We start from the raw sequence: 27414 nt of genomic DNA on the forward strand, positions 1-27414 counted from the left end.
GTTCAAGTGATTCTCCCGCCTCAGCCTCCTGAGTAGCTGGGATTACAGGCACCCGCCACCACACCTGGCTAATTTTTGTATTTCTAGTAGAGATGGGGTTTTGCCATGTTAGCCAGGCTGGTCCCGAACTCCTGACCTCGTGATCTGCCCACCTCGGCCTCCCAAAGTGCTGGGATTACAGGCTTGAGCCACCATGCCCGGCCTGATCACTTCTAATATATTGAAATCAGCCTCTATCAGCCGTAAAGTTAAATCTAATGATCTGGCCCCCGCTGAAGTCCACCTTTCTACTTCACATTCCTTAGGACTTTACTGTACCCAGTAGCTTGTCAACGGAGAGAGGGATCATAGATAAAAGAAAGACCATGCCTCCAGATTGGCTGCCCTTCTTCACAAAAAAGGGAGGCCGCTGGGGAAACCAGAAGCTACTCCTAAAGTTTTGAGGCTGGTGTGAATCACTGATACTCAGTTTTCCTTTCTTTCCAATAGGAAATGACGAGTTTCTTGGGTTTTGTTGGTCACTGGAGCTGGTATTACAAAGTAAAATTATCCCAAAGAGAAAATGAAATTTATTCCTTAAGTGACAAAAGCCAGAAATAATACCCTATGACAAGAGGGATCACTTGCACGATGGTCTTTTACATATATGAATTAATACTGATAATAATGGGTAATTGAATCCCTGAAGAAGACTCGTCTGATGTGATGTGATCCCATGAGGTGACTATGAGTTCTGTGGCGGTATAAAGACCAGTCTTGGTGCTAAAACACTAACTCTACCATTTAGTGTCATGTCAAGTCAAACTCTATGAGTATGCTCTTAAGTGAAATTCAGGATCTACTGCATGAATTTGGTGTGAAAAATGAATGTAACAATGGGTGTCAAAGGGCTTTCTCAAATTTAAAGTGTTGTGAAAATAACATGTGTTATTGTCCTGAGAGTATTTCTGGCCCAGTGATATAGATTAGAAGTAGGACAACTAACTATCCCATCTTCCTATTGATCACACCTGGCAACAGCTGGTATTCAACCTAATTCACATTGTAGGATTATGGGATCATTCTTCACATTTCTGAGCTACCAGTGTTTATATGGCTCAACATTTCCAAAATGTTGAGTATTAGTGTTTTGTTGTTTGCATCTTGATCCAAGACCTTTTTGCTATATTTGTCCTCTGTCTTTGTGCTGCTCCTACGTAGCATACACCATTAGCAGCCATGTCTTATGAATTATCCTGTAGTAATGGTGGGTGTATATTAATTCATATGCACTATTCTGTCATTTTGGAAATGAATGGTAAAACATTTTAATCCAGAAGTTAGTATGAAATTGGTGAACTTGAGTCTTCCCTGCTTCACTTTTATCTACCCCAACTCCCCCTAAACAGTACTTATCTTAACTCTCCTCAGAAAACCAATATCTTCATATTTTCTCCTCCTCCCTATCTGCAGTTCTGGAGAAAGGATCTGAAACAGTCTGTAAACAAAGAATTGCAATATTATCTGCTTCAGGGTGTGAGCTCATCGGGAATTAACGTGTTAAGTAAAAGGAAACCCAGGTTAAGACATTGGCCAATTAATGGGAAGTTTTATTTTGGATAGCAGGCCTTCTTAATGCCCCTAAAGCCCCTCCTAAAACTGGTAACCCTTTGGGGAAATGACTTCTTTCATCTGATGATGAGACAGCTGGCCTAAGGGGCTGAATACAAGCCCCACAGAAGATTGAACCCATATCTTTATTCATGTTATCCAACCCAAATTCTCTCTATGCTGTCATCAAAAAGTAATTTAGGCATTTTGTACCATAATAGCCATATTGTCCAGATAACCTTATCCAAGATAGCAGCTGTTTTCCTTGTGAACACAATAATCACTGACCTTGAAAGAATGTCATTTAAACAGTGACAGGTGATCACTGGTTAAATAGGTTCTGGGCACTCTACAGTCGACTACAAGAATCCAGGTAACAGTGATGAATTCAAAACAGTCTTCATTGAATGTGCCTTTAAAAAAGGCTTAAAAGACCATTTGTTCAACATCTACTGCTTGCTCATACTGTCAGGAGAATAAAATTCAAGGGCTTTACCTATCTTGGATTTTTGTTGTTGTGTGTTTTGTTTTGTTTTATACCAAATATTGTAACTTAACCCATGTCTTGTTTTGGACCTGTAAAAACCCTAAAAGCTTTGTGATTTAACAAAAACATTCTATTGGGGTTCAGTGCCCTTTGGAAATCCTTTTAGAAGTAACACATTCTAGCATGTTACTCTTGATAAGACTGCAATATTGATAATATGTCAAAACCATTCCCTTCTTTTGTGCACATTAAACTGAAAATGGCAGCTTTGACGTAAGACATCTGCTTGTGAATTCATTAGCTAAACTATTATCAGCAAAGCACATTTATTTATTCTTAAAATTGTAAGTTCAAAGCACATTTTATTGGTGATTCATTTTCCTGCTCCTCTTCCCAAAACCTTTGTGTTTTGGGAACAAAAAGGCATTTGACTTATTTTTCAGGTAACCTAGTAATCAGGTTTCATGTGTGACTATTTAAAATATAAACACAGCATATTTCACTTCTTTTATCGCTCTTTTTTGAAGGAAATTGCTACAATCCTTAGAAATGAAAATCCTAAAATCTCACATTTGAAGCATTATTAAAATAGCATCCAGATAACCTTTTAGTCAGTTTTTATCTTTCTCCTCTCCTACGACAGTAGAAATAGAACATTACACTAATGCCTCTAGTTTTTTCCTGCTTTGCTGTTTTCCTTGAAGACAGTAAATAGTTCTCAAGTTTCTACTCACATACTACTTTCTATATTCCATTCTCATTTACTAACCAAACCTCAGTTTTCCTGTCTGCATATCAGTGTCAAGTCTAAATATCAGTGCCCAAACTCCAATCTCTTTTCCAAGTATTTGCAGGTAGATAGCATGAGCCTTTTAAACTTCAATCCCAAATGAAACTTACTGGTTCTCTCCTCAGAGTCCCTGCTATTTCTGTCTAGCCATTCTTCCAGCCACACAAACTCTGAGGTTTAGTTTTCGTCACTTCTTATACCCCTAAATCTTTGTTACTCAAAATGTCCAAGGGTCAATAGCATCTATCACCATCACCTGGGAGTCTATTAGAAATGCAGAATTTCAGGCCCCACTCCAGGTATACTGAATCAGAATCTGCATTTTAACAAATTCTCAGGTGATTCCCATGCACATTAATACCTGAAAACCACTGCCCTAACTGAGAAGGAACTGCTATGACCTAAATGTTTGTGTCCTACCAAAATTCATATGCTAAAATCCTAAACCTCAATATGATGGTAGGGCCTTTGGGACATGACTAGGTCATAAGGGTGGAGCCCTCATAAATGGGATTAATGTCCTTATAAAAGCATTCCAAAGAGTTTGTTTTCCCCTCCCACCCATGTAAGAACACAGCAGAGAAGACAACAGTCTGCAACCCAGAAAAGGGCCCTCACCAGAACCCAACCATGCTGACTGGACTTTGATCTTGGACTTCCCAGCTTTCAGAGTTGAGTAAGGAATTTCCATTGAGTAAGCTACCCAGTTTGTTGTATTTTGCTATAGCAGCTTGAATGGACTAAGAGAGGGACCATCTCTTTCTTTCATGGTAACTTAGTATGTGGTGGATACTCAGGTCCTTGTTCAATATCTGCCTATGTATATAGATCTTTTAACTGAATATTGATATACTTGGAATCCTATCCCTCTTGCCTTCTAAGAATTTCCTTTTGCTGTTATATTCCCTTTCTTCTACATCATGAATTTCTCCTTCCCTACTGATCATCCCCATCAATATACATGTCTTACAAATTGTTTCTTAGTTGTCACATCAACAGAAACCAATAAACATGGCTGATTTGGGCAAAACAAAGATTTTATTAAAAGGACACTGCAGCTGGCATCACCACTGCTACAGCACTGGATGCTGGAACTTGCCACTAGCACCGTAGCTAAGACTACTCCAGAAACTCAATCTTACTACAACCCCTGCTTCACCCGAGCACTTCTTCCATCCTGGCATGAGATTCCCCATCTAAGCATGCTCATCTGATTGGTGAAGCCCGTGTCATATGCCCACATTCTCCCTGATAGGGAGGCTAGAAAACTGACTATCTGGCATTTTCAGTTTGTACAATAGAAGAAACACTCTGCCTCCCAAAAAGATTCATAATTTCATAATTCATAATTCAGGGAATTTTAGGAATTTCCTAGAAATGAAAGGTTTCCCAAAAAGTATAACAAATCTTCTATCTTATCTTTTAAAAAAAAAAAAAAGATTTCACAGGCCAAGCATGCCTATAATCCCAGAGGTTTGGGAGGCTGACATGGGAGGACCAGTTGAGGACAGGAGTTTCAGCCCAGCCTGAACAACATAGTGAGACCCTGTCTTTAAAATAACAATAACAATAATAATAACAGTAAAAAAAATTCTCATTTTTTCCTTTCCCTTCTTTTGTGACATCTGTAAAAGAGATTGTTTATTCTTGGCTTTAATTTATCATATCATATTCACTATTCAACCAACTCCAATCTTGCTTCTATCCTCAAAACCATCATATTCCAAATCCAGTGGATGTTTCTTGGAGCTAATGTTGCTTGACCTCCCAATACTACTGGATCTTCACTTGGCTTCCATGATATCAGGGTCCCCTGGAATTTCTCCTTTCTTTCTGACTCTACCTCAACCTCCTTTTCTGGCTCTTCCTCTGCTCATTCTCTATGCGTTTGTTTTCATAGCTCTGTCCCTGCCACTCTTCTTTAGCCCTATTCACTCCCTAAGTGTTGTGTTTAATCTCATCCCTTTACTGGTTGTAAAATTCTTAGAATTCTTAAAATTCTTAAAGCTAATCATTTCTGCCCCCCACCAAAAAGAAAATCTGTAGGCTGGTGACCTCTTGGCTGACCTCTATCAAGTTTTGCATTTCTAACCTTCTATTTTGTACTTGTACTTGGATATTTTTAATATACATTTTAATTTTAATATGCCTATATGGCAAGTGTTAATTTCCCTCTCATAACTTGCTTCTTAAGAAGTTTCTCTAATTTCAGTAAATTACTTCATAATTTACCCACAGTTTTATCCATAAACCTAAGAATCATCCTTGATTTATTTTTCTCACACTTTCATATCCCTTTTATATACAAGTTCTATATTTTCTACCTCCACAACATGTATTCCAAATTCATTTACAGCTCTTCTTTCCCTGTGTGTACCATCCCAGTGTAAGCCATCATCATCTATTGCTTATAATCGTATTTCCACATCAACTGGCCCATTTCTTCTTCTCCAATCTCATTTCAAAGCACCTCCCCCGTTCACCCACACAACGCTGCCTCCATTGGCCTCTTTCCTAGTCCCCAAGCAAGTCATGCTCTTTGCTGTCCACAGATTTTGCTTTTCTTTCTTCTATTGAGAATGCCTGGAATACTAATTCCTGCCCAGCTTCTCCCATTACTTCACCTTATCCTTCAAGACTACCCTCTGTTTTTAACCTTCCCTAAAGTAGCCCACCACTTATCCTATCACATCACCTTGCTTACTTTTACTTAACAATTTAAAACATTCTGTAGTTACAGTAGTCCCTGCTTATCCACGGTTTCACTTTCCATGGTTTCAGTTACCCATGGTCAACTACAGTCTGAAAATATTAAATGGGAAATTCCAGAATTAATAAGTTTAAATTGTGAGCTTTAAATCTGAGTAGGGTGTTGAAATCTCTCACTGTCCAGCTCCAGCCCACCCAAGACATGAACCATCTTTTTGTCCAGCATGTCCATATGTAAACACCACTCTCCCATTAATCAGTTAGTAACCATCTTGGTGAACAGATAAAAAAAAATAGTATAATAAGGCATATACGTATCAGTGGTTTCAGGCATCCACTGTGGGTCTTGAAACATGCTCCTCCACCCCACACACACCTACGATTAAGGGGTAACTACTGTGTCTTATTTATCTATTCATCAGTTTACTGTGTACCTTAACTAGTAGGTAACTTAGATCAAAGCAGAGACCATGTCTTTTCAGTGCATGGCTGTGTCCCTTGAAATACAAGGATTGTGTGTCTCATAGGCACTCAATAAATATTTGCTAAACAACAGAATGAATTGATAATTAAGTGAATGACTGATGTCAAATTCCATTGAGATTCCCAAACCTTTTCATACATCTTTAGCCATCAGTGATAGACTGATGGCTAGTTACCCAAGAAAAGTTTTCTGATTTATTCTTTTACTTTTGATTCTGCCTTGGACTATTGATTGTTTTCATTAATAATAATAATAACATGTTACTTTGGGCAGCTAGTAGGAAAAGCAAGGCCAATGATGCTGACACATTCTGAAGGCCTCCTGGGTGATGCAATCAGTATTTAAACAAATAATTTCTGCCCATCAATCATTCCTCTACTTCCTGCAATGAAGCTCCCTGGAGGAGTCATCAGATTCTCAATCTTGCTTGAAGACTGACAAGATGTCCCTGTGGACTCCCAAACTCTACTCCAGATGGGGAGGTGCCCTTAACACCAAGATTTTAAAAGCTCCAATTTCAGAGCAAGAGTCGAAAACTCACAGATAAAGTTATAGTTATTTCAGGGTTCTGAAAAGACGCAGAACATGAAGGTAAGTAAAGGCTTTATTAACTTGAGACTTCTTAGCTATTTTTTAAAACGTTTTATAGCATTTTACCTATTTCATGTTTAATAAGGATTTTAGAGTTTAAAGGATATTTGAACGATACGCCTTTAGAATAACAGAATCATTTGATTTTACTAAGAAAAAAATTCACGTATTTACTTATTCTTCATTTGGGTGAAGTAATACAAATAATATGTTTCTAAATACGTTTTTTCAAGTGGACTCTTTGTGAATTAACTAGAAGGTAGAAGGGAAACACCTCCAGAAAACTGAGTATTAAAACAGAATATTGCGAGAAGTAAGGGGGTTTATAATTGTCCAGGCGTCAAGGAAGGAAGCAGAAGATCCTATTGGCACAGAAATGACCCTTTCTGGTTGATCGCTTCATATAGGGACTCAGAAGTCTGGCAGCAACAACCTTGGCTCTTTTCCTGGTGTTTGTTTTCCTGGGAAACTCCAGCTGCGCTCCGCAGGTAATCAAATGCAAAATAAAAAATTTTAAAACAATGCGCACTGTGTGTCCACTCTGCTCTTTCTTTCTTCCTTCTTGTTTTATTCTCTTCTTTTTCCTTTATTTTGCTGTAATAGAGGACTGAGCTGCAATGTTTTATTAACTGCTCTTCCCTTCCCCCGGGCTATAGAGACTGTTGGAGAGAAGGAACTGGACTCCTCAAGCTATGCTCTACCTGAAAGGGGCACGTAAGTTCCAAATATTTCGCTCTTCCTACAATAATGGAAGACCCCTAGGAGTCAGGAACAGATAGATGGAGAGTTATGGAGAGAGAATAATGTCGAGTTTATTCCCTTAAATCATCGAGGCCATCAAAGAGACCGGTAGGTGAGGGAGGGGTGGGAGAGGGGAAGAGTCCCTGATTATTGGAAATCCTCCATCCTTATTAGAAATTCTCCATCCAAAACTGGAGGGTTGCTTCTCTTGGTCCAAATGGGGACTCGGGTTGCCTGGGAAATATCTCAGTAACCCGACCTCCGCTCCAAAGCGCCCTTGCGGCGTCCGGTCAGGCGCGGGGCTTTCCTCCAGAGCTCCAGGGCCCCTGGCTCAGCCCGGGGTTGCGCTGGGAGCGCTGGAAACTCGGCAGCCCCGCGCGACCCTATCCTGGAGCAACCTGCCCCCTCCCCACGCCCGGGGACTGCGCTGTGCCGGGAGGAGCTGAGGTTTAAGCCCGGGTTGTCCCGGGCCAGGCTGTCGCTGAGCCCCAGGTCTCGTTTTTGCAGAGGGTCGCCGCTTCATCTCCGACCAGAGCCGGAGAAAGGACCTCTCCGACCGGCCACTGCCGGGTGAGTGACCAAGGGTGCAAGGGCGCTAGTCCTGCGCTTTTGGAATAGGATGGGGCGGGCAGGGCTTGCTCCGCGCTGGTGCCGAAAGAAAGCGTCTCCTCACCGGAAAGACGCGGCTCTGAGGCGCCCTCAGATACAGTCCGCCCGAGGGCAGCCCGGGTTGGCAGCAGCAGCAGCTGGATGCCGAGCGCCGGAGCTGGGAGCTCGCGCGTCCAGCCCCGCGCCAATGGTGGCAAGGGCGGCCCAGGCTGGCGCTGCGGCTCCCCAAGCCTTATTGGCTTGCGGCTGTTCAGCCAGCCCTCTGGCTGCCAGGGTGTGCAGAGGTCCCCAGGGAGTTAGGACCTGAGGTGCAGCTCAGAGGGGTAAGGCGAGATAGGAAGAACTATGCAAATGCTTCTAGAAATGTATCTGCGCGTTTGTGCAGGAACTTTACTCAGCCTCCTCTTAAACGCTGTTATTATTAAAATAAGAACTTACCTAGGAACTTCAAATGTATGCTTTTGTTTGACTAGAAAGAACTATCAAAGGTTCAAAATCAAAAGAGTAACATGCGGGCAGTTAAGGATGGGACCGGGGACTGTTCTTTTTCATGATAAACCTTTCCATCGTATTGTATTAACAAATAACAATACAATTTGATGAAATTGTAAAGATTGAAATGCTAAAATTAAAAAGTATACTTACTTGGAAAAATACCAAACACTGTTGAACACATAGTAGGTGCTTAAATTTTTGTTTAGGCTCTTCAAACATGCTGTGTAATTGAGCTTATTTATTTTATGAGGTTAAGATTTGTTTCTCAACTTCAGTTGCCCCAAATTAGAAATCATGTTTTGTGCTGAATCAGAACAATTTGTCTTTTTTCAACTTAGATTTGAAATAACTTTGAGTTCTTAGCAGATACTCCTTCAGTCAAATAATTACCTTATATTTGGCCGCAAAGGTTAAATTATTATCTAAAATTCTCTTTGGCATATAGTTTAACATTCTCTTCCATACCCTGTTTGTAAACTTGACATAACCAATTGTAAGTCATTTCCAAGGCAATTGTGACATGTTAAAAAATTAGTCTTCTGTGTAAGTAGTCCTTTGTTGAGGGGTCAAAATCTATTTCATAGAGGTTTTTCTAGTATTGCTGCATGTTAGAATAGGACTTATCTACATCAATATATAAATGCTAAGAGAATCTGTATACATTTTTGTTTCTGCAGAAAGACGAAGCCCAAATCCCCAACTACTAACTATTCCGGAGGCAGCAACCATCTTACTGGCGTCCCTTCAGAAATCACCAGAAGGTACTAGCATAGTGGCCTCTTTCACCTGCATAACAGAACAGCTTTGCTTACTTTCGGGATTCTGTGTTGAGTGCAACACCCCTCCCCCAGAATTTCTTGGCCTTAGGCCCAGAAATTCTAATTCTGTACTGCTTGAGTGAGGCCCAAGAATCTCTGTCCTTAAGAAGTTCTTCCACATTATTCTGATGATTGGTCAGGTTTGAAAACAGGAACTTCAGAGCCCGTTAATAAAGGTTGAAATCATGAGAATGGAGATACCTTCTAGGGCTTAGATATAGTGGGAAAAGGGAAGACAATAAAACACCCAAAAATCAAGGGAAATGGGGGGAAATAGTACCAGTGAAGGGACATTAAAAGGAGCAAGCAGAAAGGTAAGAGGAAAATCAGAATAAGAGAGTATCCCAGAATTCATTCAGTAGCTGATGCTACTGATCCCGCTCCTCTTGAAACTTTCCAGGGATGGAAACTATCAGAATGGTTACTATAGCAGAATGGTTAGTAAGAATACAGAACTCAGGGGACATTAAACAGTGTGTCACAGGACTTCCCCCCACCTCCTGCCCAGTGACACAGCTTGCTGCTGCTATTCCATATCTGAAACTTTGTTTACAGAATGTGATACAAGAAAGTAAACTGCAAAGTTAAGAGAAAGCAGGTCTCAGGCTCTGGAGAGCTGGCATGACTCTCAGAACTCTTGCAGTGAAAAGGTGTGAAATAGTTGAATAACGGGTAGAGGATGCTGTATCCAAGGTGTTCTTTTTAAAACCCAAGACATGGAACCCAGCGATTTTTGGAGTCAGTACGAAAAGAGCTCTGATGGAGATTGGTTGATAGTGACGTTTTAGATTTGATTGTTGGGAAAATGTGCAGAGCCAGAAAGGAAAGTGACTTATAATGGACAAGAGAGAGCTAATTTTAAAGAGGAGAGGTATCTTCATTAGCAATTTGAGGAAAGGATGTGATTATAGGTCCCCATCTCAAGTCTTTTTTGGAAAATAAATATGTATTTTTTTAATTATTGAAGTTTTCTAAGTGGATTGTCTCTGAAGATGAAATGACTAATTTTATTAGTCTAAATTGATAGAAAAGTTTTTGATTCCCATATGATAAATTAATCACTAGTCTTCTTTAGTATTTTTATTCTATACTACCTCATTATTATTTAGAAGGCTCTTATTTAGTGAATTATGGTTTCAGTGGAATTTATACAGGGACGCCGTTCTGGTTTTGTTTTGTTTTGTTTTGTTTTCTTCCTTCCCTTTAAAGAGAAGCCCATTTTCTGCAATGGTTTAAAGTGTGCTAGAAATTCAGGTTAAGATGTAACCCAAACATTCAAATTATATTGCAACTAACTGAAAGAATGTGCTTTTATCTAGAGGTGATCTTAGAAGAAATTAGTAGATGCACTTTGCCCCTGGCCACTGCTTCTCCCTACCGTATTGTAACTTTTAGTCATTCTATCCTATTTTTAGAGTCCCAGGAACCTGCTATTGTCTAACTCTTTAAGTATCCCCACCTCAGAAGTGATACCTCATGCTCTAAAGTTTCGCGATCCCAGCCAGCAAACGAGTGCCTCTTCTTTTTGTCTCATTTCCTCCCCAGAACTCTAGCTCCCCTAATAAAAGAACATTTGCAAATGTGTTCCCATGTCATCTTTCCCGAGCAAGATCCATTTTAACAGGAAATATAAAGAGACAGTCCTTTGATGCAAGTGAATTATTTTAATGGTGGGTATTTTAGATATAAGTCAATCTGTGAGAGCAAGACACATGACTTTTGAGATTTTTACCAGACATACCATACTGTAGTTTCAGTCATTATAGAGGTTCAGATGTAAAATATGAATTCCCCAATGTGTCCCAAGCTGAGAAAAAAAGATTTTAAACTGAGCAAATCAAAGCCCATATTGTTTAAATTTTCAGTAGCAGAGTCCATAAGTTAACATAGCTTAGAAGGCTAAATGTTTATTTCCTGAGATTCTCTTTGTCTTACCTTTTCCTCTATTAAAACGCAGAGTGTATATTTATTTTAAAGAATTTTTTTTTCTTACAGATGAAGAAAAAAACTTTGATCAAACCAGATTCCTGGAAGACAGTCTGCTTAACTGGTGAAAATATACTGGATTATGTTTAATTATGGTTCTATTCTCTTTGAAAACATGAACCATGTGAATAAAACCTTTGGACCCTTTTATTCCATTTGTAATCTTAAGAACACACACAGATAGTTTTATTCTTTCAGAAACAAAATATATATAGGATGCTTAGCTGAGAACATCATCTTCTTTCATTGCTTCAGGTCCTGTTTAGATGACCAAAAATGTTTTCAGATCACCTTGTGTCTTACTCTTGAGTTTCTTAGAATATTTATAATTATAAGGCTGAAGACTAAAGTGTTCTTTCCTTTTAACTATAGCCAGTACCTGTCTTGATCTTAGTTGTGTTTTTTTTTCATTTTGTTACCCACTTGCATTTTGTTTTCACTCAGCAGAAATTCTCCTTCTCTGTTTTCCTTTTATCCCATCCCCAAGAATGTGGAAGGAAGGTGAGAAACATGGCAGGATGGGAAATAGGAGAGTATGACTCTCTATAGCTCATCCAGGAGTAATCAATTAAGAAGATAAATTGGATGACTGTGGAGAAGCTCTGTGATAGGAACACTTCAGTGTGGTTGCTGAGAGGAGACAGTCATTGAGGTAGAAGGTTTGCCAAAGATCCAGAGCTCAGAGCTCCCTTTGTGCTCTTTGGGAATTACCTTGCATTCAGTTTAGAAACATGGATCTAAAAGTTACTGGGAAATAAGCAGATGGAGACACACTCTGTTGTTTACGTATTGGAAGAAGGGAACAAGCCAGTTTTGTTAGAGGTAACTCATTTTCCATGACCAAACAGACTCAACAGATTCAAGTACTCTGCTTACTCTAATTGACTAGACTCTAGGTTTTATTTGACATCATAGCATTACATAAATCACTCTGATAACATAAGTGCACAGTAATATGCCTGATCTCTTCCTTTTTAAAAGCCAACTTGAGTTCAGTACCATCTGAATACACACACATGCACATATACCCACACACGCATACACACATACTCCTGTGGCAAACATAATAATGTATTTATTTAGAATTATAATATGACCATCATGTTAATTATTTTTTACCTAATCAGAGTTGTTATTGACAAATGTCATAAGTGGAAAGTATTAATTCTTATTGTCATCAGTATTTAGCCATTATTTAGTAGCTCAAGAATATCTTTATGTGAATGTCTCTGTAACTTGGAATTGCAATTTCACTGTGTTAAGTAATCAGAACTCTGCTTATAAGATTTATCTGTATCTTGTTTCATAATTTAATAATGAAACTAAATTCAAGTTAATGTAATGTTGATCTCCGTCGAAAAATAACTTGTGAGCATTAAAATATCTGTATGGCATTATAATAGGCACCTGTCATTAATTATGATTTGATTTGAAAGTAGACTTACTAGGTAGTGCTTACATCTGATTTATTGAAAATTTTTTCCAAAAGCATTGTCTTTTATTTATACAGTCCTAACCACTTCACCATTAGGAGGGGTGGGACATTAAAAATTATTTACCCATCAGACATAAAATTGTACAAATTGACTATTCAAAATAGTATGTGTATTCAAAGAACACTTTTAACATCTATCTTATGAAATAATTCTTCCTACAACTAACCAGAACAATCTCAAAAATGTCATACTAACCATTGTTTTAAAAGCTGTCTCAATGATCAATAGCTGTTAAAATATAGCTCCAAGTATTCTAAGTACTCAAATTCCTTGAATGTTCTTATGTACAAATATGCTGATTAATTAAAAGGTCCCTCTTCCCAATTTTCTATAACTTTCCAACTCTCTTATGGTGTCTATATTCTGTTTATTTCTAGATTTTTAAAAAACCAAAATGAACAAGTGATCATAGATCAGAAAACCTTCACATTATATGGCTTGTGTTTTAAAATTGGGAATTTTCTGGCTTCAACACACAGATACATGCACTAGAATACCTTGATCTGCAGGGAGCGCTTTCAGCCACTTTCTGCACAGTTCTCATTGCCCTTCTCTTTTTTGCCTCTATAGCCTACCTCGGCTATCTGGCCTCCATCCTGGGCTCTTAATTATTCTTTGTTTTCCAGTAGTTGCCTTCGCTCCCTCAATACCATCATTGTGTTCCTAAGAGAGGAGAGAAGAAGGCGAAGTGACCCTGGCTTGTTCAGATTAGCCTCCAGCTTGCATTTCTTCTTTACCTGGTTATGATAAATGAAAATGTGTATCTTACAATCTTGAATTACATTATTTTATCTTGACCACAAAGAAAGGGAAGTTGGGAATGTAACTTCATTCTGTTCGGTCGCTTCATACTGGGCTATAAATTCCTTTAGAAAGAGCTCATTTTTAATTTGATTTGATCCTCACAACAACTGTGTGAAATGGGCCATTTTATTGCCCTTAGTACTCATAGAAATTTGGGTTCATTCAGTGAAGACTCTTCGGACCTCCCTAAGTAGACTTAACTAGTCCCCCTCCTGAGTCTTCCTTGTACCCTGGAAAACTATTAGTATAACACCTTGTAACATTTATGTTCTCATCTGCATATATAAAACCAGTTCTGTTCACTCTAACTCTTACTATGGAAGAGACAGTAGTATCTTGATCAGTTCAGGCTGCTAAAACAAAATACCACAAACTGTGTGGCTTATAAACAACAGAAATTTATTTCTCACAATTCTGGAGCCTGAGAAGTTCAAGATCAAGGTGTCAACAGAATCAGTGTCTGGTAGAAGGCCCATTTCTCATAGATGGCGCTTTCTTGCTGTGTCCTCACGTGGTGGAAAGGGCAAGGCAGCTCTCTGGGGCCTCTTTTATAAGGGCAGTAATCCTATTCATGAGGGCTCTGTCCACATGATCTAATCACTTCCCAAAGGCTCTGCCTCCTTTGTGGATACCATCACATTGGGGATTAGGATTTCAATACAGACGGGCCCAACTTATGATGGTTCGATTTATGATTTTTCAACTTTATGATGGGATGAAAGCAACACACAGTACACTCCTTGACTTACCATGGATTTATATTCTGATAGGCCCATTATAAATTAAAAATATCAGTGGGCTGGCCAGGCATGGTGGCTCATGCCTGTAATCCCAGCACTTTGGGAGGCCAAGGTGGGCACATCACTTGAGGCCAGAAGTTCAAAGACCAGCCTGACCAATATGCCAACACCCTGTCTCTACTAAAAAGAAAATACAAAAATTAGCCAGCTGTGGTGGCACATGCCTGTGGTCTGAGATACTTGGGAGGCTGCAGCACAAGAATTGCTTGAGCCTGGGAAGTGGAGGTTGCAGTGAGCCAAGATGACACCACTGCACTCCAGCCTGGGTGACAGAGCAAGACTCTTGTCAAAAAGAAAAAGAAAAAGAAGGAAAGAAATAAAGAGAGAAAGGAAAAAGAAAGAAAAGAAAAAGGAAAGAAGGAAAGAAAGAAAAAAGAGAGAAGGTAAGAAAGAAAAAAAGAGAGAAAGAAAGAAAAAGGAAGAAAGAAAAAATATCAGTGGGTTTATCCAAACATAATCCCATTGTAAGTTGAGGAGCACCTATATATGAATTTGGGGGGCACACAAACATTCAAACCATAGCAGGTGGTACAATCCATAAAACGGGTCTTTCTCTCAGCTGATCAGGCACCACACACGTTTTCTATAGTTCCTGTCCTTCAATTTATGAATACATACATTCTTTAAAAGCAAAATTTTTTGAACCTCTATGTCTCCCAATAAGACCATTTATCTATGCAACTATTATGTACAAGGCACTGTACTAGACACAGAGCCTTCTACTAAAAATCATATTTGCTTCTCCTCACCAGCTTTTGTCGGTCTTGGGGAAAAGGATGAAGAAATGACTACAGTGGAGAGATGGAGTCACCTGGCAGCAGCTGTCTGAATAGGGGACTGAGTACAGGATAGAAGGTGATTCCTACACATACTGCCAAAGCCAGGTATTTGTAAGTCAGCTAAATTCCATGTGCCCTATCATTTGTACACACTTATTATCATCAAATTATTATTTCATTGAACAAAAAGCACTTACATCTTCAGGTATTTTACTGTGTAGGCATGTTTTCAATAACAGTCAAGCAACCAGTTACCAATCGAGTATCATTTGAATAGACACGTTAAGCTAGTTTACTGGGGATACATTTTCATGGTTATTGTAACAGTGAACCCTAGTTTATCACAGTATCTTTCTGGTACTTCAGGGAATGAGCCTATAATATAAGTCCTTCTCATATTTTTTCTACTCTCCAGTACAGAGCATTTCAAACTGCTCTGCAGATGCTCGGTTAATTGGCATCCACAGGGCATTTGTCAAAGGCTAGATTTTAGGTCAATTATTTCTCTTCTTTCTGGACATCTAAGTAAAGTAAATTTCCAGCTATCTTCCATTTTTGTCTGATTTGCTGCTTGTATCCAACAGTTTTCTACTTTTTTCTAGCTACTGCAGCAATAGGAGGGCTGGATTACAGTTTTCCAGTGGTCTTGAACCATCTGACACCTTGTCGTTGCTGCTATTCCATTTTTGTGATCAATAATCCAGCACTGAGAAGACCAAAACTTTTTTAGAACCTCTTCAGAACAAGGCCAATTGATATGTCAATAAAGGAACTCACTGTGAGTTAAGTGGAACTCACAATGAATAACTACTTAGTTAGCAAAAAAGCAATCCAAGAGTGTGATTTTTGTTTTTGTTTTGTTGCCAATTTAGACTTAATTACACTTAAAACATAAATCGGCTAAATTAATAATCATTCATCTATGACTCTATGCACATCACAGAATATGTTGAGACATTGTCATTATTACAACTGAATAGATGTTCTATTTTTTCTATTTTTTAAAAAGATAGCTTCTCTAGGAATTATTCATAACAGCTGCTTCCCACATGTTATTCGAATGTCTAAACAATTTTTAAAGAAGGCATTATCAGTGAAAGTTGTTATTCAATATTAATGTGTTTATTTACTTGGATTTAACAACTTATCATCTATGAAGAAACAAGGCATTACCAGTGAAAGTTAAGTTATTAAATATTAATGTGTTTATTTACTTGGATTTTACAAGTTATCATCTATGAAGATTGACCAAATTTTAAAAAGGCTTTCTATTTAAACAATAGAAAAATGTTACAGTAAGATGGTGGTACCATGTACATGGTAATATCTTGCATTAATTACAACATCAATTCTAGATTTCAAAAGTGACATAAATGTCCATTAATATGCATCAAAATATGGACTTAGGATAGCTATTCACTCATGGATTTTTGTCTCTGCAAAACTACATCTAAATCATGGTTCTGATGCATGTGAAAAATGAAAATAATCAGTAAAAACCTAGCTATTTAAAAAATGTAGGTAGTGCACATTCATGGGTAAGATCAAGGTTTTCGGGGGGGAAATGGGAAATTTGTGTGGTGGGGTAGAGAAGCTGCATAAATAGTAAGCAAAGGATTATGATGATCATTTAAAAATAAACAGAGTAAGAGAAAATCCTTACCACTTAAATTCACCATTTTAAAAACACTTTTCCGTCTTCTGCCTTTAATGAGTGCTCCTCCTCATGCCTAACTTTATGGGGGAAACAAGAGTTGGGGAAAATAACTTGGATCTTATCCTAAATTACAAAATTGTCATTCACTCAATTTCTTCCACTTTTTAGGCAGAGAATAAACTCCATTGTAATACTTAGAAGGAGAAAATGAAATTTGTGGCATTTTTATTTTAAATAATTAGTCTTACTTTGCTTTTTTAAATTAGCTCTTCATGCAGCACATGTAGAATTCAGTTCTTATATTCACCATGCAGCTTTTTCTTCCCATGAGGAACGTGGCTCAGTGAAAATGGTGACTTGATATTTAACCGATCCCTTTCAGCCTCCTCTTCCTCATCGTATCTCTCATCCTCCACTTCATCTTCCACATCACTGCTCTGAGGACTGGAGGCCTGAGACCCTGAAGGAGAAGGTGGTACTGAGGAAGGCCTGGGATATTTAAATCCTTCTGTCTGCCAAAGACAAAAATAAGACATAAACATCACAACAGTTTCTTGGCTTTCAACGATGTAAATACTATGCATGCACTATCAATTTTTTAAGTAGTTATCTATCTTTTGTAGTCTGGGTGCTATTAAACTTTGATTCATTTTGATTTTGATACCACCAATCTCAAGAGGGATTCATTCAATATATAGCTATTCTTTATTAAGTACTGAAATGTGCTAAGTGTTATATACATATTATTATCATCTTATCTTTTAACAACACTCTGATAAATATGTTTTTTTCAGTACAGAAGAAAATGGAGGGTTAGAGGGGTCAAGTAACTTGCCCAACATCACTCAGCACATAAATGGTAGAGCAAAGATTTGTACCAGGTCTGTGATGACTCCAGAAACTTTAATGTCAACTGCCACCTTACACTGCTGATACTGTTAGTCTCTAAGTCTCAAATTTGTTCAGCAAAGCTTTTGGATGTGGATAGCCTGGAAATGCCATGGATGGCCACCACTAGAAGGCATCCTGGAAGTCAGGTCACTTAATTGACTCTACAATTCCACTAGTTGCTGTTATTTCAGTTAATGAGAAAATATCACTAGACTTTAATTAATTTGCCCTTCTACTTGAGATACTGAGATAACTTATTTGATAAACACACACTGCAATGCCACTAAAGAAACCAGATGAAAAAACATGATTGGAGTGCATATAATTGAATGGGGAGACAGATGTGTAAAAGTGTTATAGCGCTCGTCACTCTGTATTTCAATTACTTTATACATTATATCATGTCATACATGTACAGTCATTTTAAGGTTCAGATACTTTACCTGTCAGCAATACAACAAAAGAACTGAGTTCTGCACTTGAGACCTAGCTTGAAGTAGGTGCTCAATGCTTATTAGACGTAATAACTGGATAAATAAGTAGATAAGCAGATAAATGGATGAATATTGCTGAATTATCATTAAGTGGAATGACCACCTCTGAATAAGCTAAGCAATCAACTCTGAATGCTAGAATCATAAACATGAAAGTCAGAATTTGTAGCCTGAGGGTTTAAGAAAACCTTATCACCTTTTTTACGGGCAAATTTTACTTCAGGTTAACTTTCTAGATCTGTTCCTCTGGAAACCTGATATAGGTGGAATATAAGTCATGTTATTAGGGATGGTTGTTTATGGTAACAGTGACCCCTGATTGAGAAATTATATCTGAACTGAAAAATCTATAAATACTTGATAAGGCGCCAGAGTTTTTGGGAATCTCTGAATGACTCTTATAAGATGACTCATAATTGGGCATATTCCTTGCAGGGAGCATGAAAGCTGGTTTGCGGAGATTTACATGAGATAGAGGCTCCTGTGGGGCATGCAGCTACTAAGCTAAGGTGATCTCATTTGCAATGGTATGGGTCTTATCTTCTTGCACCTAAGCTGTCACCTAGTGTGTAGGCGGCCAAAGATGTTTAGCTCTTGGATTGCTGTGTAGACTACTGCAAGGACTGATCCCACTAAAGAGAAATGCCTGACGCTCCCCTGCTTCAAGTGGCACCTCATGTCTTCTCCCTGCTAAGTGAATCTGATGACAAATGTGGCCTATAGCAGTCTTATGAACATAAACGTCTAGTTGGATTTTAGAAGAAGACACCCTGGTGGGCACTGATGAATGGACCATAAATGCTCATCTAGTTCAATTCCTCCTGGGGTGCTGAACTTACTCTATTTTACTCTTGCCAAGCGGTCACCCTATATTTAAACACTTCCTTGGAGAGCAAATTCACTTTCAATTAAAGCAGTCCAGTTTGTTTTTGAACAACTCCCCAAAGAATAAATGTCCATCAGAACCATTTCAAGCATTAAGGCAGAGAAAGTTTTAATTCAGAGATGCTTCTCCAATGAGATGAATTAACTGTCTTGAGAGCTTTAGGACAGTCTGATTTGTGAGTTCCTCTCTCTCTCCTTTGGTTTGATTCAACATTATGAAAAAGTATCATAGCTTGTGTGCATAGCTACTTCCAAATTTAAATGTATTATTTAAACTTATAAAAAGAAATATAGCTTTCAAAAAAAAATACATTGAATATTTACCGTTGGTGGTGATGTTAGTTCCACATGGAATTTATCTGGAAAAGCTCTGCTTAATGTCAGGTGTCTGGCATGCTGGTAATACTATTGATAGAAAGCCAAATCACAGGTTAATAAAAACCCTTAGATATCTCAATAATCAAGTTATTAAATAAGGCCTTATTCTCCTAGTTCTGAAACATATGTATTTTTTAAAGTGACAGAATCTATGCAGTCTAAGTTTGAGACTCAGGAAAGAAATTACAGTTTATAGTTTTACTATTTTTCAACCCATAGGCAGAGTAATACTATAAAATGCTGGGGAAGAATGCCCATACTGGTCATATTGAGCTCTGAATTGAGCATTAAGGTGACTGAAAACACTGGTTTCATTCCACAGAGAAGCAGTGTGGCATGGAGAAAAGATAGGGCCTGAATATTCAGATAAATTGGGTGTAAATCCTGCTTCAGACCTTAGGCAAGAAACATCACTTCTAAAAGCCTAGTGTATCTATCTTCATTGCAAGATGGAGATAGTAAAATTAATCATCCAGGTTGTAATGAGCACTGGCATTTGTGTGTGCAGATACTCAGCAAATGGCAGCATCTCTCATTCAGCCAAGAGTGTTCAGCACTGTGCAAACAGACACATTATGTGAAGGCAAAGTCAATTCATTTATTATTAAATCACCACTGCTAAGCTGTGTGAGCATCCAGGTGTTTATAAACCTATTGCATGATTGAAAGGAGGTATTTCCTGTAGTCATCATTTTGAAAAACCATATTATACCCATTACTCACTACAGTTGAGAAATATGACTACACTATTTCTCTAGAGAGAAACAAAGTAGGGACTTTTCTCTTGATGTTTTCTTCAACTTCATAAAATGTTTCCTTATACCAGTAACACATCAAGTGAGGCACTGACAATGGAATAGCTAGTAAGATCAGTGCTAGATCCTGATGGACTTGCTATTATGAATAGACTCAAACGAAACATGAAGAAATACATATAGGACTTTGTAAACTTATTAAATTTTAAAAAGTACATGGAGACACTGAGATTTTAACAATTATAATATTGGATTAACTTTAGAGATTATGACTAGAATCAATATGTTTATAGTCCAGTGGAATTTTTTAAGTGGTCTGCTGTGTTTATCTAAACTTGCTTACTCTGCCTAAGTATCTCCAATCCAGAAGATCTGAGAGCCTCTCAGTTCTGTTCCTCTGGATAATCCTTTGGCGGCGTGACTGTTTGCAAAATCCATAGAGAAACTTAGTCAGCTGATTGCAAGAATCATCTGGAGAACGGAACCGCCTGTCAACGATGTAAATACCTGAAGAACACAAAAGCCAAAGCACAAGTAAAAGTAGGACTAACCTTAAACATTTGTTCTCCTGTGATTTACTAACTCTTTGGTTCCATCAAAAACCTATGCATTATCTACCCCCTGACTCAGGAATTACCCCCACTTTATTCTTTTCTGAGGCCCTAATTCCCTTCTAATGGTTTACAACCATCACTGACACACAGCCAACGAAGTGGATCTTGCTGAAAAAAACTCTGGCAGTCTAGGGATACGCTGGATCAGTGATCCTCCATGGGGTTGCTCACTAACCAGAATTTCCAGGGCGGGGCCTGGATATCTGTGCCTTTTATGTTCCCCAGTGTTCCCACTGTTCAGCCGAGGCTGAAAACCCCAGATCTAGCCTGAGGAAAGAGCCACAGTACACCCATAAAAGACTGAGGGAAGGCCAGGGCTTGGTAGCTCACACCTGTAATCCCAGCAGTTTGGGAGGCAGAGGTGGGTGGATTCCTTGAGCCCAGGAGTTCAAGACCAACCTGGGCAACCTGGGGAAATCCCATCTCTACATACAAAATTTAGCCAGGTGTGGTGGTGTGCGCCTGTAGCCCCAGCTACTCGGGAGGTTGGGGCAGGAGAATCACCTGAGCCAGAAATGTGGAGACTGCAGTGAGCCAGGATCAGGCCACTGCACTCCAGCCTGGGCAACAGAGTGAGACCATGTTTCCAAAAAAAAAAAAAAAAAAAAAAACAAAAAACCCAGGGAAATGGCAATGTATTGGCAGACAATATATCCCATTTTAACTTTTCTTGCTGCTAGGGAATATGAACAGACAGATAATGGTATGCAAATTATTCTGCCATCTTAAACAATTTAGGTGAACTTTGCTAAGTTGTCACGGGCCTTTAAAATAATAACAGTAATGATAACAATAATAATAATATATGTACTATCTAATGACCAATATATGCACTCTAAGACCATGGTTATTGTCATATCATTTCTAGGCAGCAGAAGGGATCAAAATTCAGGGAGGAAAAAGGTAAAGGACAAAGTTTGTCCAAGTTTTGCACTCTTTTTGCAGTTTGTCTCATGGGCAATATATTAATATTAATAGCATTCTTATGTTATCTGTGGGCCACATATTTAAAGCTACTTTTTTTTCTCCACTTTTAGTTTAGGTTCAGGGGGTACATGTGCACATTTGTTAGATGGGTACATTTCATACTGCTGAGGCTTGGTGTACAAATGATCCCATCGCCCAGGTGATTAACATAGTGCCTGGTAGGTAGTCTTTCAACCCACGCCCCTTCCCCCACTCCCCACTCAAGCAGTCCCCAGATGTCTATTGTTCCCATCTTTGTGTCTATGTGTATTCAATGTTTAGCTCCCACTTATAAGTGGGAACATGCAGTATTTGGTTATCTGTTCCCGCATTAATTCACTTAAGATAATGACCTCCAGCTGCGTCCATGTTGCTGCAAAGGACAGAATTCTATTTATAAATCTACTTTTTTTTTTTATGAGACAGCCTGAGGCTCTGTCACCCAGGCAGGTGTGCAGTGGCACGATCTCAGCTCACTGCCTCCTCCGCCTCCCAGGTTCAAGTGATTATAGTGCCTCAGCCTCTGGAGTAGCTGGAATTACAGGCGTGCACCACCATACTTGGCTAATTTTTTTGTATTTTTAGTAGAGATGGGATTTTGCCGTGTTGGCCATGCTGGTCTCGAACCCCTGACCTCAAGTGATCCACCCACCTCGGCCTCCCAAAGTGCTGGGATTACAGGCATGAGCCACTGTGCCCAGCCTAAATTGACTTTTAATTAAACAAGAAATATAAAAACATTAGTTTAATTATCAGGATAGCTTTAGAGTTAGGCTCTGTAAAGACCCTGTGCTTTGTTTGGTTAGAGGTCATGTCTCCCCAGCATGGGTTAATGATGAAAACCCTCACCGTAAGCAGTAGGATCAGCCACGTGCTCCTGCATGAAACAGCCAAACCCGGAGAGATTCGTGGTCACACTGGGGATACCCATCACAGTGCATTCAGCTGCCAGGGGAAATAGACCAAAGCTTGGCTTCAGACCAGCGCCTATATCCTTGTATGCACTCAGAGGAGGAAAAGGCCCTAGTCCTCCTAAGAATAGCAATGTTCACTATGTGTCAGTCACAACACTAAACTCTTTACATGTCTCACTAACTTATTTAATCTCTCAACAACCCTGTGAAGTGGGGCCATCATTATCCCCATCTTACAGCTGAAGAAATGAGGCACAGAGAAATTAATAACTTTCCCACCTTCACAAAGCCAGGGTTCGTGGTATAGCTGGGATTTGAAGTCAGGCACCCGGCTGCAGAACCCTTGTGCGGAACTGCCGGGCTCCACTGCAGCTTCAATCCCAGCTGGTTTTGTTTCTTGCTTCTTTCTAGCCTGTGTTTCTAAGTACTTGGCAAGTTTATGAGGTAGGTTAAATATGTTTTGGATGCGACCAGCTTCTTCCCCCATTTAAATCTCCCTTGGCACATATTCCTTCCACTCTCTCAGGAGCTCAATAAATGGATGATCTCTTGCAGTCCTCCCTCACCTTTTAATCAAAATCTGTTTTCCAGGAAATAACTGATATGTCTTAAAAATTTTACTAGTCTCAAGGATGTCTACATTTTTAGGAATTTATATTTGATAATGGAATTACCCTTGGTTGGTGAGTGGAGTTGGATGAAAAAAAGATCTTCCCATTACCCATGAAGTAATACAATCTAGACAGCAACCTTATCTCTTGCTCTGCAAATGTTTCCTCTTGGTTTAGCTGTATAGCTGTGGAGTTGTGGTTCTCTAATTTTAGTGGTGGGTGGTGCAGAGGAGGAAAGTGGGATGGGGACTATCAGCCCTTTTGAGAGTCTGATGAACATTTTGGAACTCCTCTCCAGAAATATTCTTCTTTTTTTAATTTTTACACACTTTTATTTCCTCAGACTTCCTCCTGGACTCAGCTCCACCTTCTATGGGAGTTGGGAGTTGGAGAGTATCTCTTATTTTCTTTTTTAAAAAATTTTACTTTAAGTCTGGGACACATGTGCTGAACGTGCAGGTTCGTTACATAGGTATACATGTGCTATGGTGGTTTGCTGCACCTATCAACCCATCGTCTAGGTTTTAAGCCCTGCATGCATTAGGTATTTGTCCTAATGCTCTCCCTCACCTCGCCCCACAACCCGACAGGCCCCGATGTGTGATGTTCCCCTCCCTGTGTCCATGTGTTCTCATTGTTCAACTCCCACTTATGAGTGAGAACATGCGGTGTTTGGTTTTCTGTTCCTGTGTTAGTTTGCTGAGGATGATGAAGAGAAATATTCTTATACACATATGTATACAAAATTTTGTCTACAATGCCGTGAAAGTTCACAGATCCTTCATGTTTATTAAATGGCCATCAATTCACTATGTAGTAATATTCCAGGCACCCATGAAGTTTAGTATATGTTCATTGAATTAATTTAATGAAATAAATGCTTATATTTATTTGGCTCTCTGAAAACACATTTGGATGAATGCTTTCTAGAGTGAGTTAAGTCTAGTAACACGTAAAAAGATTATTCTAAAAACATTAGCAAGTTATCTAATATGCTAATGTTAAATGTATACCACCAGAAGTCGCATTCTTCCTGTAACTATAGGTTAGGGGAAGAGTGACCAGCTCCCTTTGGTTAATGTAAAACACAGCATGACTCATTCACTATGGACTATTCCACAAACTCCCTTATTTGTCTATTTATAATATCCTTTGTAACATCTTCTTTGGCCTTTATCTTAAAACAGTAGATATATCTCCTCTATCATTTTGGGTTGTTAAGTTTAACTTTGCCCTATAAAATGACACTTTGGTGGACAGTCAGCTGTTAGTTCTATAACATTTTCTTGACCCGACAGAAAGGACTTCCCACATTGCCTCAGTCACTCATGCATTTGGTTGTATACTCTTCTATCCATGATACTTCCAATAGTAAATTGTTTTACTAGAAATAATAAGAACAAGGTCAAAAACAAAGTGTTAAGTTCATCAGTGAAACGTGTGCTTTATGTATCTCAAAAGATAGTGCATTGCAAGCAATTTGAGATATTTATGTGGACATTTCCTAAGTAAGAAGACACCACCTTCACAAAAGTAGGCCACTTTTAGATCTGCAAGAGAGATACCCGGAAGAGTTAGATACAAATATTTCCTATGTCATGTTTCAAGACAATCCTTTGTCTATTTTCCCCAAGAAATTTTAAAGTTTTTATAGCTGCTGGCAAATTATGCTTGGTGAAGCTAGAACAATAGAATAGGACCTTATGACCAAACATGCCCAGCCCTCATGTTGTTCCTGCTGTAAATAATACAGGATCCTATTTTTGTAGACTTTTAAATTCTGTATTTTAATTCTAGGATAAAGATGCAAATAATAGAAAAAATTCTTCCTCTTCATAATTCAGCCTATTATTCCCTCTCACCTTGGCCTCTGCTGCTCCTTACTTGAGCTTTATATCAATGATAACATTGAGATACAAAAGGCAACATTTACTATCTCAATTATAAATAAAAATGTTTTCTGAACTTTTTAAAAGTCACAAGTGAAGAGGCCGGGTGTGATGGCTCACGTCTATAATCCCACCACTTTGGGGAGCCAAGGCAGGTGGATCAGTTGAGGCCAACAGTTTGAGACCAGCCTGGCCAACATGATGAAACCTGTCTCTACTAAAAACACAAAAATTAGCCAGGCGTGGTGGTGTGTGCCTGTAATCCCAGCTACTCAAGAGGCTGAGGCACGAGAATCTCTTGAACCCAGGAGGCGAAGGTTGCAGTGAGCCAAGATCATGCCACTGCACTCCAGCCTGGGTGACAGAGTGAGACTCCGTCTCAAAGAAATAATAATAAAATCACAAGTGAAACTTTATTTACATTGGGCAGAAAAATATCTGATTATTAATAAGAGATGGAAAAGTTATTGTTGTATTCTTTGCATTGGCATGTATTTAAAGTATTTGTTTCCCTTTTAATTAGACATTTCAGTACAAGTACAAATTGGTCGCTCTTGATGCTAATGGCAACCATGCCAGTTCGGTCCAGAAAAGAAAAATACATAGTAAACCTGAGAAACTACCATCTGTTAAAAAATAAAATAAAATAAAATAACAAAGGAGGGTGAAGAAGGAGGAGTTTCTGAATGGAATGATGTCATTGTTGACAATACCACTGAATTGCTAATCTCTCTTAGTACCTTTTATTTTGAGGCACAAGAATGTGAAGAAGACTTTTCACTGTACACCTTTTTATATTTATTTCCCTAACCATATGACTGTGTTACCCATTACATATTAAATATGTTCATTAAATTTTAAAAAGAATTATTCTAAAATAATTTTTAAAGAACAACATTGCTAGACTATTATTTATTATATTAATCCTACTTACAGTCAATTTCTCCTTCACACTAATAAATGGGGCAGATAGAGATAGCTAAATAAGATACAACCTTTATATCACATTCCTTTTTCTTTGGAATTCAATGAGGCAATACCTCACATACCTCCTAAAATATGCCCAAACCGTGGTATACTTATATAATCTTCATCCTTATTCTTAAGTAATTATCTACAAATCATAAATTAATCCCTGTGATAAATCCAACCAAAATTTTTTAAAACTGAAGAATTGAAATCTTATTAGAAATTTAATATCAACTTTGAATATTATATATATGCACATAAAATAATATACTAACAAAATTCAAAACATTCCACACTCTATACATGACACATACCTGGAGTATAACCCCAGGGTTCATAGTATGATGGAAATACTCCAAGATGACAACCTCTAACAAACTCTTCATAGTCCATGGGTAGTAAGGGACTGGTGGAGGATAGAAACTCTGGGTGCAAAATCACCTAAAAAAGGAAAATTCTAATTTAAAAAAAAAGAAAAAGGAGCAAGTAAAGTGAAAAATCTCCTACAATTTGGTTATTTCAGTACTCTACTATAGAATCCTTATGTTCTAGATTCAGAAAGAAAAAAAGAGATAAGACAAAAGAAAAAGAAAAAAGCCGTGGTGGTTTGTTCTCCTCTCTCCATTCTGTAGAAGTGTCTATGCTGCATATTTAACTTTCCCTCAGGTTCCAAGGCTTAGGTTGAAGGATAAGGAGTTAGAGTGCTCATTTTTGCTCTCACACTAAACTATATCCTCCAGTCCAGCTTTGACATGCAATAAACCTTATATTTGGTTATCTAATTGCTCTTGTCTTTTTATCTATTTGTTCCCAACTTGAGCAGGGAAGAGGGGGCTGTGTAACAGACCACTCTTACATGCCTTAAGCATGAGTTATTCAACTGAAATGGAACTAAGGGACAGGGAAGATGTTCTAGGAATGCCATCTAGATTAAATCATGCTAGAGGACTTCGTGCAAACCTCCCTCCTCTCTCAGCTAGAGACCATCACCTCCTAACATACTTGCCTGCTTCTTTCTGTCCCACTGGGGTCTCTATTCAACACAACTAGATTGATCCTTTAAAAATGTCAGTCATTCCCTTGCTCAAAGTTGTTCAGTGGCTTCCCATTTTACTCAGAGTAAAAGCCAAAGTGTTTACCATGGCTTCTAAGCAGTGGTATGCTGGTAAATATTTAAGAACTGAGACACTGAAGTATAAATATATATTAATA

General features: G+C 38.5%; 2 protein-coding genes and 1 long non-coding RNA gene across 7 annotated transcripts in view; 2 read left to right on the plus strand and 1 right to left on the minus strand.

Annotated features, from left to right (window-relative positions):
• The first annotated feature begins 6468 nt into the window (after positions 1-6468).
• Positions 6469-13120, plus strand: SPX (spexin hormone). Of its 3 annotated transcripts, NM_030572.4 has the most exons (6): positions 6469-6651; positions 7059-7139; positions 7308-7365; positions 7900-7962; positions 9174-9257; positions 11310-13120. In NM_030572.4, the coding sequence occupies exons 1-6, from the start codon at positions 6646-6648 to the stop codon at positions 11366-11368; spliced, it is 351 nt and encodes a 116-aa protein (NP_085049.1). In that variant the 5' UTR covers positions 6469-6645; the 3' UTR covers positions 11369-13120. The 3 variants fall into 3 exon arrangements, 1 of the variants encoding a protein (NP_085049.1); NR_135187.2 differs by lacking the exons at positions 6469-6651; positions 7059-7139; positions 7308-7365 and having other exon boundaries at positions 7704-7962; NR_135188.2 differs by lacking the exons at positions 6469-6651; positions 7059-7139; positions 7308-7365; positions 7900-7962 and adding an exon at positions 8125-8324.
• The window catches only part of GYS2 (glycogen synthase 2), a 72271-nt gene continuing 57606 nt past the window's right edge, over positions 12750-27414 (minus strand). For 2 of the 3 annotated variants that reach the window (NM_021957.4, XM_006719063.4), the window contains 5 exons: positions 26517-26643; positions 22669-22764; positions 20583-20746; positions 19431-19511; positions 16280-17348 (listed from right to left, as the gene is read on the minus strand). In NM_021957.4, coding sequence (NP_068776.2) covers positions 17127-17348; positions 19431-19511; positions 20583-20746; positions 22669-22764; positions 26517-26643 — 690 coding nt within the window. In that variant the 3' untranslated portion in view covers positions 16280-17126. Of the gene's footprint in view, positions 13460-16279; positions 17349-19430; positions 19512-20582; positions 20747-22668; positions 22765-26516; positions 26644-27414 lie in introns of those variants that run through there. The other variant, XM_024448960.2, reaches the window with a different exon arrangement.
• Positions 14767-17506, plus strand: LOC124902896 (uncharacterized). The gene is made up of 2 exons (XR_007063240.1): positions 14767-15284; positions 17219-17506. It is a non-coding gene; the product is annotated as an uncharacterized LOC124902896 (long non-coding RNA).

This window comes from Homo sapiens, chromosome 12 (assembly GCF_000001405.40).
Source record: "Homo sapiens chromosome 12, GRCh38.p14 Primary Assembly".
NCBI lineage: Eukaryota > Metazoa > Chordata > Mammalia > Primates > Hominidae > Homo > Homo sapiens.